General features: G+C 51.3%; 5 annotated features.

Annotated features, from left to right (window-relative positions):
• Window positions 2,261–2,878: an enhancer, noted in NCBI's record as "H3K27ac hESC enhancer chr7:100766263-100766880 (GRCh37/hg19 assembly coordinates)". NCBI's record gives its function as "activates a minimal SCP1, AML or CMV promoter by ChIP-STARR-seq in naive H9 embryonic stem cells {active_cell/tissue: H9 hESC(naive)}" and the evidence as "EXISTENCE:reporter gene assay evidence [ECO:0000049][PMID:30033119]".
• Window positions 3,499–4,118: an enhancer, noted in NCBI's record as "H3K27ac-H3K4me1 hESC enhancer chr7:100765023-100765642 (GRCh37/hg19 assembly coordinates)". NCBI's record gives its function as "activates a minimal SCP1, AML or CMV promoter by ChIP-STARR-seq in primed H9 embryonic stem cells {active_cell/tissue: H9 hESC(primed)}" and the evidence as "EXISTENCE:reporter gene assay evidence [ECO:0000049][PMID:30033119]".
• Window positions 3,618–3,912: an enhancer, noted in NCBI's record as "tiled region #9046; HepG2 Activating DNase unmatched - State 1:Tss, and K562 Activating non-DNase unmatched - State 8:EnhW". NCBI's record gives its function as "activates a minimal TATA promoter and a strong SV40 promoter by Sharpr-MPRA in HepG2 cells, with weaker activation in K562 cells {active_cell/tissue: HepG2 | K562}" and the evidence as "EXISTENCE:reporter gene assay evidence [ECO:0000049][PMID:27701403]".
• Window positions 7,735–8,436: an enhancer, noted in NCBI's record as "H3K27ac-H3K4me1 hESC enhancer chr7:100760705-100761406 (GRCh37/hg19 assembly coordinates)". NCBI's record gives its function as "activates a minimal SCP1, AML or CMV promoter by ChIP-STARR-seq in naive H9 embryonic stem cells {active_cell/tissue: H9 hESC(naive)}" and the evidence as "EXISTENCE:reporter gene assay evidence [ECO:0000049][PMID:30033119]".
• Window positions 8,203–8,436: a silencer, noted in NCBI's record as "fragment chr7:100760705-100760938 (GRCh37/hg19 assembly coordinates)". NCBI's record gives its function as "represses an EF-1alpha promoter that drives an FKBP-Casp9 reporter gene in an ReSE screen in HepG2 liver carcinoma cells {active_cell/tissue: HepG2}" and the evidence as "EXISTENCE:reporter gene assay evidence [ECO:0000049][PMID:32094911]".

Below are 13,238 nucleotides of genomic sequence, written 5' to 3'. Positions count from 1 at the left end.
CATCTAGGGGTGATGGGAGACCGTGACAGATCATCAGGCATTAGATTCTCATAGGGAGCTTGCAACCTAGATCCCTCACATGAACAGTTTAGAATAGGGTTCGAGCTCCTATGAGAATCTAATGCCGCCGCTGATCTGACAGGGAGTGGAGCTCTGGTGGTAATGCGAGTGATGAGGAGTGGCTGTAACTACAGATGAAATTTCACTCACCTGCCACTCACCTCCTGTTATGCAGCCTGGTTCCTAACAGGCTATGGACCAGTACGGGCCCCTGGCCCAGAGGTTGGGTACCTCTGCTGTAGAGGGTGGAAACTGGCTAGCAGTGGGTGAGCATGTAGGGCTAGACTAGTGGATTTTGTTGTTGTTGTTGTTTTTTGTTTTTTTTGTTTTTCTGTTTTGAGACGGAGTCTTATTTTGTTGCCCAGGCTGAGTGCAGTAGCACTATCTTGGCTCACTGCAATCTCCGCCTCCCAGGTTCAAGTGGTTCTCCTGCCTCAGCCTCCCGAGTAGCTGGGATTACAGGTGTGCACCACCACGCCCGGCTAATTTTTGTATTTTAGTAGAGACGGGGTTTCACCATGTTGGTCAGGCTGGTCTCGAACTCCTGACTTCGTGATCCGGCTGCCTCGGCCTCCCAAATGCTGGGATTACAGGCATGAGCCACCGCGCCCAGCTGGATTTGGGGTTTTGACAGGGTCAGGTGCCCTTGGCCGTGTGGTCTGGATGTTGTGGATGGAAGGGTGGCCAGGGTGCTGCCCAGGGGGTCCTGTATTGGAGAGATGGCATACTTGGGGTCCACGGACTGTTGGGTTTAGTGTATGTGGTGGGGTTCAGTTGGGAGAATCCATGGCAACAGCTGATAGCAGAGTCACAGGAAGTTTCAGTGGGTGGAAGCGTCGGATGTTTGTTTTGGATTTTTTCAGTAAACAGATACCAAGGGCAACCACACTGAGCAGCCCTCCTGCTTTTTAATCTGCCTTAGGCTTTGTTTTCTCACAGCTGGCAGGGAAAGAGAGGAGAACCACAGTCGGAAAGTTAGGCTCACAGACACATTAGGAGAACTCTTCCTGTGAAACTGCCTCTTGTTTATGTCTTTTTCCTTTTCTTAGTTGTGGTTTGGAGTCCCTGAGAGTGTGGTTAGCGGTGAGGAAGAAGCAACTGCCCTGACCTCTTGGAAGAAGACAAGTCCAGCCCCAAACCCATCTCTTTTTTTTTTTTTTTTTGGAGACAGGGTCTCACTCTGTCACCAAGGCTGGAGTGCAGTCATGTGATCATAGCTCACTGCAGACTTGAACTCCTGGGCTCAAGCAAGTATCGGGGACTACAGGCAAGCACCACCACGCCCAGCTAATTATTATTTTTTCTTATAGAGACAGAGTCTTGCTATGTTGACCAGGCTGGTCTCAAATTCCTGGGCTGGAACAATCCTCTCACCTTTGCCTCCCAAAGTGTATAAGCCAACATGCCCAGTCCCGAACTTAACTCTTGTCCTCAAAAGTACCCCAAGACAGGGCATGGTGGCTCACACCTGTAATCCTAGCACTTCGGGAGGCCAAGGCAGGTGGATCACTTGAGGCCAGGAGTTCAAGACCAGCCCGGCCAATATGATGAAACCCCATCTCTACTAAAAATATAAAAATCAGCTAGGCATGGTGGTGCGTGCCTGTAATCCTAGCTGCTTGGGAGGCTGAGGCAGGAGAATCGCTTGAACCTGGGAGGTGGAGGTTGCAGTGAGCCGAGATCATGCTATTGCACTCCAGCCTGGGTGACAGAGCAAGAATCTGTCTCAAAAAAAAAAAAAAAAAAAGTACCCCGCAAGGCTTTGCTCTCTGACCTTAAGGATCAGAGGGGAACAGGGATCAGGCAGTACCAAGCCTCGAAGACTTGAAAGTTCAATGGGTCTAGACATAGCTAGATGTGGCCTCCTCAGGTGTCTGACGCCAGCCTCTCCAGGCTGCAGCTTAGCCTCCATCCCTTCCTCTGCCTGTCATACCAGGAGCCATTGTCCCATACCTTGCCAGGTCTCTGCTGTTTTCTGTGGACAGCCAGAGCTCTGCAGGAGCAGTCACCAATTTAGTCCCCACTCATAGATTGGGTGGATGATCCTGATGCCAATCCAAAATAGACACCCCTGCTGGGTGTGGTGGCTCACACCTGTAATCCCAGTCTTTGGGGAGGCTGAGGCAGGAAGATCACTTGAGCCCAGGAATTTGAGCCAGCCTGGGCAACACAGTGAGATCCCATCTCTACCAAAAAAAAAAAAAAAATTAGCCCAGTGTGGTGGCGTGTGCCTATGGTCCCAGCTACATGGGAAGCTGAGGTAGGAGGATCGCTTGAGCCTAGGAGCTCAAGGCTGGAGTGAGCTATGATTGCAACACTGCACTCCAGCCTGGGTGACAAAGAGAGACCCTGTCTCAAAGGACAAAGCAAAGAGCAAAAAGGACATTCCATCCTTGGGCACGGGAGAGCTGGGGAGCAGCTCTAGTCCTGATTGGGGTGGAGGGTGGGGAGCGTTTTACTTTGGACTCAGAAGTGGCTGACTTACTAAGAGGTCTTTTCCCAAATCGGTGGAAACTTGTAGGCATAGGGAAGATGTGTATTAGAAACTGAGGCAAAACCTGTGTTATCGGGTCCATGTGAAGTTTCCGATTTCTCCATTGACTCTGATGAGCTGGGGCTGCCTAGCTACTCTAGAACCCAGACTTGGAGTGAAACCCCGTCTCTACTAAAAAAAAAAAAGTACAGAAATTAGCCAGGCATGGCGGCACGTACCTGTAGTCCCAGCTACTCAGGAGCCTGAGGTGGGAGAATCTCTTGAACCCAAGAGGTGGAGGTTGCAGAGAGCTGAGATTGCACCACTGCACTCCAGCTTGAGCGAAAGAGCAAGATTGTCTCAAAAAAATAAATAAATAAAAAGAACCCAGACTTGGCCATGACCCCTGCCTCTACTTCATGCACGTGGCCCTGCCTTCTCTTACCTGCCTTAGGAGCCGAGCCCTTCCATACCAGGGTCCAGCTGCCTGCGGGCTGCTCCCCACCGACCTCTCAGAGAAACCCTCTTCTCAGAATCTGACTCAAGGGGTTATCACTTTCCCCTTTTCCCCTGAATCCTAAGTTCTCTCTTTCTTGATCCAATCCTCTCTTTCCAGCTTGAGCTCTTTTGTAAGGGGTCACACGGGCACAGAAAGAAAAGTCCATGCTGATGAAATAGCTAGATCTCTGGCTTCCGGAGGGTCAGAGATAAGAGAGTGAGTTACCGGGCTGTGGATTTCAGGGGAAAGTTCTGATTCCAGCTACTGGGAAAGATGTCTCCATCTGTCCCTGAGCAGGTGGTTCGTGACTGTAGATCACACTCAGATTTTCCATGACTGTCCCTCTGTCCCCCACCCACTGGTGGGCCCTGGGTGGACACTGGCCTTCCCACCACCCATCGCCCCCTGACCTCCCGCCTTCTGGCCCGATCTCTGCTCTTCCTCTTTGCTTCTGTCTTCCCCGCTTTCTTTTTCACTTTCCCTTTCTCTCTCTGAGCCTCCCGCTTCCTGCTCCCTTCTCTCTGACCTCCTGCCTACCCTTTCTTCCCCGAGCCTTCCCTCCTGTCCCCTCTCCTCCGCTGCAGGAGGTTGCCCCCCATTTCCACTCTCTCTCTCTCTCTCTCTCTGACTCAGTCCCTCTGTCCCTCTGGAATCCCAGAATCCCTTTTACAGTCAAATGCTCAGCTCCCAAGCCCTTCCGGTGGGGAAGAGAGCACTGCCTGTTACACAGGCTCCCTGGAATGTGGGGCCCAGCCTCCCTGATTCCTGGTGATTTCACTGGGAGAGCCGGGGGTTGGAGAAGGCAGGGTCTTGCTAACAGCACTATTTCTGGCTTGGTTGCTCTCCAAACAACACAACTCCAAAAATAGCCTGTGTTTGGGCTCGGCTCTCTCCCCTTCTCTAGGAGGGAACCAGTGCTGGGTGTCTCCACCGCCTTTTTTTTTTTTTTTTTTGAGATGGAGTCTTGCTCTGTTGCCCAGGCTGGAGTGCGGAGGTGTGATCTTGGCTCACTGCATCCTCCGCCTCCCAGGTTCAAGCGATTCTCCTGCCCCAGCCTCCCGAGTAGCTGGGATTATAGTCATGCGCCACCATGCCTGGCTAATTTTTGTATTTTTAGTAGAGACTAGTTTCCCCATGTTGTCCAGGCTGGTCTCGATCTCCTGACCTCATGATCCACCCACCTCGGCCTTCCAAAGTGCTGGGATTATAGGCGTGAGCCACTGCGCCTGGCCCTCCACTGCCTTTTATTTAAGATCGTGGCTCTGGGACAGCCTGTCCAGGGGCCCTTCCTTACCCTGGCTCTGTGACTGACTTCCCCCTCCTCTCCTGCTGTATCCCCTCTCCCCTGCCAGCCCCTGGCCGGTCATTTCTCTTTAAACTCCCTAACACTCTAACTGGTGCTGCCTTACCCAATGTAGCCCTTGCTTGTCCACAATTGCATTTTTTTTTTGAGTGGGGGCCACGTTCTGTTGCCCAGGTGGGAGTGCAGTGGCACAATCATGGCTCCCAGCCTTGGCACAGTCATGACTCACTGCATTTCGACCTCCCAGGCTCAAGAGATCCTCCCATCTCAGCCTCCTGAGGAGTTGCTAGTTGGGACTACAGGTGTGCACCACCATGCCCCGCCAATTTTTTTTTTTTTTTTTTTTTTTTTTTGAGACAAAGTTTCGCTCTTCTTGCCCAGGCTGGAGTGCAATGGTGTGGTCTCAGTTCACTGCAACCTCTACCTCCCAGGCTCAAGCAATTATAGTGCTTCAGCCTCCCAAGTAGCTGGGATTACAGGCATCTGCCATCACGCCCAGCTGATTTTTGTATTTTTAGTAGAGACGGGGTTTCACCATGTTGGCCAGGCTGGTCTTGAACTCCTGACCTCAAGTGATCCGCCTTCCTCAGCCTCTCAAAGTGCTGGGATTACAGATGTGAGCCACTGTGCCCCGCCTAATTTTTTTTTTTTCAGAGATGAGGGTCTCTTTATGTTGCCCAGGCTAGTCTCAAACTCCTGGGCTCAAGGTTGGAGTGCAGTGGTGCCATTTCAGCTTACTGCAGCCTCTACCTCCCGGGATTAAGTGATCCTCCCACCTCAGCCTCCCAGTAGCTGGGACCACAGATGTACACCATGACACCTGGCTAATTTTTTGTATTTTTGGTAGAGACGGGGTTTTGCCACGTTGCCCAGGCTGTTCTTGAACTCCTGAGCTCAAGTGACCGACCTGCCTCAGCCTCCCAAAGTGCTGTGGTTACAGGCATGAGCCACCATGCCTGGCCCTAACCCAGTTCTTTTAATTTACAAGTGAGGGCACTTAGGTCCAGAGAGGTCCACTGTGGTTGAAGCCACACAGTGACTACACCATAAATGAGAGAATAGTGATCATTGGATCAGACAGACCCGGCCACTAGTTAGGAATCTGACATTGGCTATGTGACTAGGTAAAACTTAATCCCTTCTCCTTCTCCTTCTCTTCCTCCTCCTCTTCCTCCCCTCCCCCTCCCTCCCTTCCTTCCTTCCCTATGATTTAGGGATCACAGCCTCAGTATTCTTATTTGTAAAAGACAGATAACGATTCCCATCTTTCAAGGTTGCAATGAGAATTACATAAAACGTCATCTGCCAAATGTCCAACACATTTGGCAAGAACAAATGTTCTCCTTTGTGGCAGCCGCTCTTGGTGGGCAGCAGAGCCAGGACAGGAACCCAGACAGTCTGAGCTGTTCATTTTGATATAATGCAAGCTCCTTGAGGGATGGATGTTTGAGGTGTTTGTTTTTACGTCTCTCAGCATTTAGCGGAGCGTGGGCGTTAAATGCCTCGGAAGTGGGCTGGCTGCTTACCCGAGGGGATGCCTGGCAGCCCCTCTCATCTGTTTCATACCAGATCCTTCTGCTGTCTCCCTGGTCCTGACACGCTCCCATTGGCTGACTTTGCAGGTTTCAGATCCCAGGAAGATATTCCCCTCTGGGCTGCAGGTCATGGATGTACCCCGCTTTTGTCCCAAGTGTATCCTTATTTTCTGAGCATACCAGGGAGGAAGGAGACTTGATTTACCAAAATGGAGTTGAGCTCGACCCACTCTTCCAGGCTAGGCCCCTGCAGCCTCCATCTCCCATCTCTCATCGATTCCTCTATGGCACCTATAATGCTTTAATCACTTAAAAAAAATGTATGCTCTACCATAGCCAATTTTATCTTTTTTTTTTTTTGAGACAGAGTCTCACTCAGTCACCCAAGCTAGAATGCAGTGACGCGATCTCAGCTCACTGCAACCTCCACCTCACGGGTTCAAGCAATTCTCGTGCCTCAGCCTCCTGAGTAGCAGGGACTACAGGCCTGCACAAACATGCCCAACTAATTTTTGGATTTTTAGTAGAGACAGGGTTTCACCATGTTGGCCAGGCTGGTCTCAAACTCCTGAGCTCAACTGATCTTCCCACCTCAGCTTCCCGAAGTGCTGGGTTTACAGGCATGAGCCACCGCGCCCAGTCTATTTTTTTTTTTTTTTTTTAAGATAGGGTCTCACTTTGTTGCCCAGGCTGGAGTGCAGTTGTGTGATCATGGCTCACTGCAGCCTCCAACTCCTGGGCTCAAACAATCCTCTCACCTCAGCCTCCTGAGCAGCTGGGACCACAGGCATGCACGACCACACCCAGCTAATTTTTAGCTTTTATCACTTTTATATATTTGCATTCTCCCTTGTCTTACAGTTATTTCTGTATTTAAACTTATGTGGCCATCAAAGTGTCTTATTTCCTGAGGGCACTTAGTGCTGGGTCTTTTGTAATGTGGGTATTCCAAATGTCCTTTCACCATCAGGCAAGAATGAGCCTTCCTGGCCGGGCACAGTGGCTCATGCCTGTAATCCCAACACTTTAGGAAGCCAAGGTGGCAGGATTGCTTGAGGCCAGGAGTTCGAGACCAGCCTGGGCAACACAGGGAGACCCCCCCCCCCAACCTCTACAAAAAATAAATAAATGAGTCAAGCATGGTGGCATGTGCCTGTAGTCCCAGCTTCTTGGGAGGCTAAGACAGGAGAGTCACTTGAGTCCAGGAGTTTGAGGCTGCAGTGAGCCGTAATTGCATTGCTGCACTCCAGCCTGGGCAACAGAGTGAGACTCTGTCTCAAAAAAAAAAAAAAAAAAAAGAGAAAAGGAATGTGCCCCCAGTGTGGTCACCAAGGGGAATTTCAATGGCAGGGAATGGTGGAGCACCGGGCTCCTGGGGTAGATGTGAACATGGAGCTGATTACGTCAGGCTGATGAGGTAGTGCAGGCCTGCAGGGTGCCTCCAGGCCACTGGCCAGATTCCATCCCTCCATCCACTTCTCTTTACCCACATATGTGGCTTATCTGACTCTGATTCACTTTCGTTCATCTTTACCAGAACTCGTTCCTCATTCTCTACATTCTTGTGTCTCTCTTTACGCCTTTCTCTGGACACATTCTGTTCTTTGTTGTTGTTCCTGTTTGTTTTGAGAAAGGGTCTTGCTCTGTTGCCCAGGCTGGAGTGCAGTGGCACGATCATGGCTCGCTGCAGCCACTACCTCCTGGGCTCAAGCCATCCTCCTGCCTCAGCCTCCTGAGTAGCTGGGACTGCAGGCGCACACCACCAGGCCTGGCTAATTTAAAACATTTTTGTAGAAATGGGGTCTCACTCGGCTGGGAACAGTGGCTCAAGCCTGTAATCCCAGCACTTCGGGAGGCTGAGGCGGGCGGATCACGAGGTCAGGAGTTCAAGACCAGCCTGGCCAATATGATGAAACCCCGTCTCTACTAAAAATACAAAAATTAGCCGGGTGTGGTGATGCACACCTGTAGTCCCAGCTACTCAGGAGGGCTGAGGCAGGAGAATTGCTTGAACCTGGGAGGTGGAGGTTGTAGTGAGCCGAGATCATGCTACTGCACTCCAGCCTGGGCAATATAGCAAGACTCCATCTCAAAAAAAAAAAAGAAAGAAAACAAAGAAATTGGGTCTCACTATGTTGCCCAGGCTGGTCTTGAACTCCTGGGCTCAAGTGATCCTCTCACCTCTGCCTCCTGAGTCGCTGGAACTATAGGCTCGCAACACCACGCCTGGCTTGGACACAGACGTTCTTTTGCTAGTCTCCATTCTGGCTCTGGATGTGACTATAAAGACTGAGCTCCCACTGAGCTGGGCAGGTGTCCAGAGAGACGGTGACCCAAGGTCAGTGGGGGATGGGTGGGGGTGGAGGTCCCAGGGATGAAGCCGTCTGGGTGATACAGTGCAGATGGAATTCACCATGGGATGCCAGCATGCCCAGAGTCACTGGCCATTCTTATCTGCCCAGCTTCCCCTCCATATGGGAGCAGGCTTCTTGCATGTCTCTTCATCTGAGTCACCCTGGGCCCCCTCAGCTCTCCTCACCACTGTCATGCAGCTGGGCTGCTGGCTTGCTTGGATCTGTCTGGGCCCAGAGCCCATCCCAGACCCCCTTGTGTAGGTTTGTGGCTGGAGGGCTGGAGAGCAGTGAGGTGTAGGAGAGGAGGGGAGCAGGGAGCCTGACCTGGCCGGGGGTGTGGGACATGGGATGGCTGCCTCCTGCTTTCCTCCAACACAGCCAGTGAGAGCATGGAGTGGCATCTTAGGGTCTTTTCTGGGGTGGTTGTTATGGGACCTTCGCAGATGCATAGGACCAACACTGTCCTTGTCTCAGGAGCTTGTGAGGTAGTCTCTGTCCTGAGCAACGCCCTCTACTCCAGTGCAGACCGAATGCCACGTAGGAGGACTTTCCCGAGGCTGCCCACACTTGGCTTCCTCCTCCTTTTTTTTGAGACAGTCTTGCTCTATCACCCAGGTTGGAGTGCAATGGCGCAATCCCCTCCCGGGTTCAAGCGATTTTCCTGCCTCAGCCTCTCGAGTAGCTGGGATTACAGGCCCATGCTAACACGCCTGGCTAATTTTTATATTTTTAGTAGAGATGGGGTTTTGCCATGTTGGCCAGGCTGGTCTCGAACTCCTGATCTCAAGTGATCTGCCCGCCTTAGTTTCACAAAGTGCTGGGATTACAGGGGTGAGCCACCTCGCCTGGCCTCTTCCTGCTTGGACAGAGCGAGACTCCATCTCCAAAAAAAAAGAAAAAAAAAAAGGATTCAAATCCAACCTGCTACTGAGCCCTTTGTGTTTGCTCTGGACGCAGACTTCTCCCATGGCCATTGCTATAACCAGACAGCTCTGGCTCCAGTGAGCTGGGCGATCGTGAACAGGTCCTTTACCTTCTAGAGCCCCAGTCTCTGGAGAAAGAAGCCGACAGGGCACATGTACAAGCAGGAAATTCTGGGCAACTCCCATTTCTCCCCTGAGTCTTAATTTTCTTTCCTGTAAAGTAGAGATAATGATGCCAATTCCATAACAGTGGCATTAGGATTTCAGCGGATGGTATGAATGAAATGACCAACTGCATCCATCCATAGAAAGTCGTTAGTAGGTTGCAAAAATGGTGGCCGGGGGCAGTGGCTCTTGCCTGTAGTCCCAGCATTTTCAGAGGCCAAGGCGGGCAGATCATGAGGTCAGGAGACGGAGACCATCCTGGCCAACATGGTGAAACCCCATCTCTACTAGAATACAAAAAAAAAAAAAAAAATTAGCCAGGCATGGTGGCGGCCGCCTGTAGTCCCAGATACTTGGGAGGCTGAGGCAGGGGAATCGCTTGAACCTGGGAGGCAGAGCTTGCAGTGAGCTGAGATCGCACTACTGCACTCCAGCCTGGTGATAGAGCAAGACTCTATCTCATTAAAAAAAAAAAAAAAAGTAATTATTTGGCTGGGCATCGTGGCTGGTGGCGTACGGCTCACATGGGCGGACTACATGAGGTCAGGAGTTCGAGACCAGCCTAGCCAACGTGGCAAAACCCCGTCTCTACTAAAAATACAAAAATTAGCCAGGTGTGGTGGTGCGCGCCTGTAGTCCCAGTTACTCGGGAGGCTGAGACAGGAGAATTGCTTGAGCCTGGGAGGTGGAGGTTGCAGTGAGGTGAGATCGCCCCAACTGCACTCCAGCCTGGGTGACAGGGTGGAATTCTGTCTCCAAAAGAAAAAAAAAGAAAAGTAATTATTTTAAAAAATATATCTTTTCTTGAGCCCACTGGTTTCCTGAGGGTCTCCTGTGCTAGAAGGGGATTCACCAATGAGGCTCTAAGGTGATGAAACTCCAGACAGTCAGCAGGTCGTGCTGGGCCAGGGCCTGCTGGGGCAGGGAAGGCCACCAAGGGCTCTGGCCTGTGTCTGGCACTGGCCTGTAAGAACTGTGGAAAAGGAGGCCCAACTAGGTCATTAATACCACAGTAAGAACTTGGATCTAGGCTGGGTGAGGTGGCTGATGCCTGTAATCCCAGCACTTCAGGAGGCTAAGACTGGAGGATCATTAGAGGCAAGGAGTTTGAGATCAGCCTGGGCAATATAGCCAGACCCTGTCGCTACAATATATGTATTAAAAAATTAGCTAGGTGCAGTGGTGCACACCTGTGGTCCCAGCTACTGGGGAGGCTGAGGCGGGAGGATCTCTTGAGACCAGGAAGTCAAGGTTGCAGTGAGCCGTGATCACACCACTGCACTCTAGTCCAGCCTAGGCTGCAGAGCAAGACCCTGTCTCTAAAAAAGACAAAAAAGGCCAGGTGTGGTGGCTCATGCCTGTAATCCCAGCACTTTGGGAGACCAAGGCAGGTGGATCTCCTGAGGCCAGGAGTTCAAGACCAGCCTGACCAACATGGTGAAACCCCGTCTCTACTAAAAATCCTAAAATTAGCTGGGTGTGGTGGCACACGCCTGTAATCCTAGCTACTTGGGAGGCTGAGGCTTGGGAATTGCTTGAACCCAGGAGGCAGAGGTGGCAGTGAGCCAAGATCGCGCCACCGTACTCCAGCCTAGGTGACAGAGCGGTCTCAAAATAAATAAATAAATAAAAATTAAAAAATAAAAACAAATTAAAAAGACAAGAAGCAAACAAAGAACTCGGATCCAAAGCTGACCCCTCCAGGCTGCAATCCTGATGCCCCCACTACTCCCAGGGCCCGAAGCCCCATCTGAGAGTTATGACATGCTCTCCCCCTGAGTCCCCTTCCTGGGGGGCTCTGATGAGTCCCCTCTGTGCCCCCACCCCCATCTGTGTCAGGATCTCCCGGGACTGTGTGAGTAACGGCTGATGCAGGCAGGACAAGTAACTGTTATTCACACAACAGCACTGCCTTCCCGGGTGCCTGGGGGAGGGAGCCGGGGCTGTTGGGGTGAGGGGGGCTGAGGTGGCAGATATGAGGCAGCTAAGACTTGACAGAGGGCTCCGGGGCCCCTTCTGCTCTGTCTGGGAGGGCAGGATGATCTGGGCGCATTGAGCACCCCCGGGATCAGACTTGGGCTCTTTCCTGCAATCAGCACTCAGGCTAGGGGCTAAGACAGGGGAGAGGAGGCCATCGCCATCCCCACCGCATCTCCCCCTTCTCCCCACCTCACAAAACCCTACAGGGAGTGCCATGGGCGGGAGAGTTGGCACAGGTATTGGGCAGAACCACCCCCGCCCTGTGATGACATTGGAGGTTAGCCTCAACTGTTACCTGTCCATCTGAGCTGCTTGCCTTCCTCATTAGCTGGGAGAGTCTTGCAGCAAATGGTGGGAGAACCCGATTTGGGAGTATGAAATTCAAGGTGGTAAGGTGTGTCCCCACCTGCGTGGAACTTCCTCATCTGTCCAGTCTGGGTTTGCTCCATGGACTCACACTGCTCCACTGCAGAGGGGAAGGACCACTTGCTTTTTCTTCTTCTTTTTGTTTATTTTTTTGAGACGGAGTTTCCCTCTGTCGCCCAGGCTGGAGTGCAATGACACAATCTCAACTCACCACAAACTCCGCCTCCCGGGTTCAAGTGATCCTCCTGCCTCAGCCTCCTAAGTAGCTGGGATTACAGGCGTGCACCATAACGCTCGGCTAATTTTGTATTTTTAGTAGAGGTGGAGTTGACGGGGTTTTACCTTGTTGGTCAGGCTGGTCTCGAACTCTTGACCTCAAGTGATCCACCTGCCTCGGCCTTCAAAAGTGCTGGGATTACAGGCATGAGACACTGTGCCCGGCCAGCTTACTTTTTATTTTATTATTATTATTATTATTTTATTTTTGAGATGGAGTCTCCCTCTGTTGCCCAGGCTGGAATGCAGTGGCACAATCTGGGCTCACTACAAGCTCCATCTCCCAGGTTCAAGCAATTCTTCTGTCTCAGCTTCCCAAGTAGCTGGAACTACAGGCACGTGCCACCACGTCCAGCTAATTTTTTTATTTCTAGTAGAGATGGGGTGTCACCATATTGGTCAGGCTGCTCTTGAACTCCTGACCTCAGGTGATCCACCTGCCTCGGCCTCCCAAGGTGCTAGGATTACAGGCATGAGCCACTGCGTCCAGCTGGCTTGCTTTTTCTTTACAGTTCTTTCTTTCTTCCTTTCTTTCTTTTCTTTCTTTCTTTCCCTCTTTCTCTCTTTCTTTCTTTCCCTCTCTCTCTCTTTCTTTCTCTTCTTTTCTTTCTTTCTCTCTCTCTCTCTCTCTTTCTTTCTTTCTTTCTTTCTTTCTCTCTCGCTTTCGCTCTTTCTCTCTCTCTCTCTTTCTCTTTTGACAAAGTCTTGCTATGGAGTGCAGTGGTGTAACCTCAGCTCACGGCAACCTCCGTCTCCCAGGTTTAAGCGATTCTCCTGCCTCAGCCTCCCGAGTAGCTGGAGTTACAGGCATGCGCCACCACGCCCGGCTGTTTTCGGTATCTTTAGTAGAGACAGGATTTCGCCATATTGGCCAGGGTGGTCTCAAACTCCTGGCCTCAACTGATCTGCCTGCATTGGCCTCCCAAAGTGCTGGGATTCCACCCGTGAGCCACCGCGCCCGGCTTTCTTTAGAGTTTTAGAAGTTCCCTTCCCCTAACTTCTGCAATAACAGGGCTAGTATACACAGAGCACTTGCTGTTTGTTTGCTAGGCCCTGTTTCATAGCATTATTTTGTTTCATTTTCATACAACTAAACTAAAAAAATGGGTATTGGGGACCAGGTGCATTGGCTCATGCTTGTAATCCCAGCACTTTGGGAGGCCAAGGCAGGAGGATCCCTTGAGCCTGGGAGTTCGAGACTGACCTGGGCAAAATAGTGAGACACCGTCTCCACAGAAAATACAAATATATATACATATGTATTCTGGCGTGGTGGCCTGGGCCTGAAGTCCCATCCACAGTGG

The sequence above is a fragment of the Homo sapiens genome, chromosome 7 (genome assembly GCF_000001405.40).
Source record: "Homo sapiens chromosome 7, GRCh38.p14 Primary Assembly".
NCBI lineage: Eukaryota > Metazoa > Chordata > Mammalia > Primates > Hominidae > Homo > Homo sapiens.
Note: the sequence above shows the minus strand (reverse complement) of the source record. Positions and strands in the feature narration are given on the sequence as shown.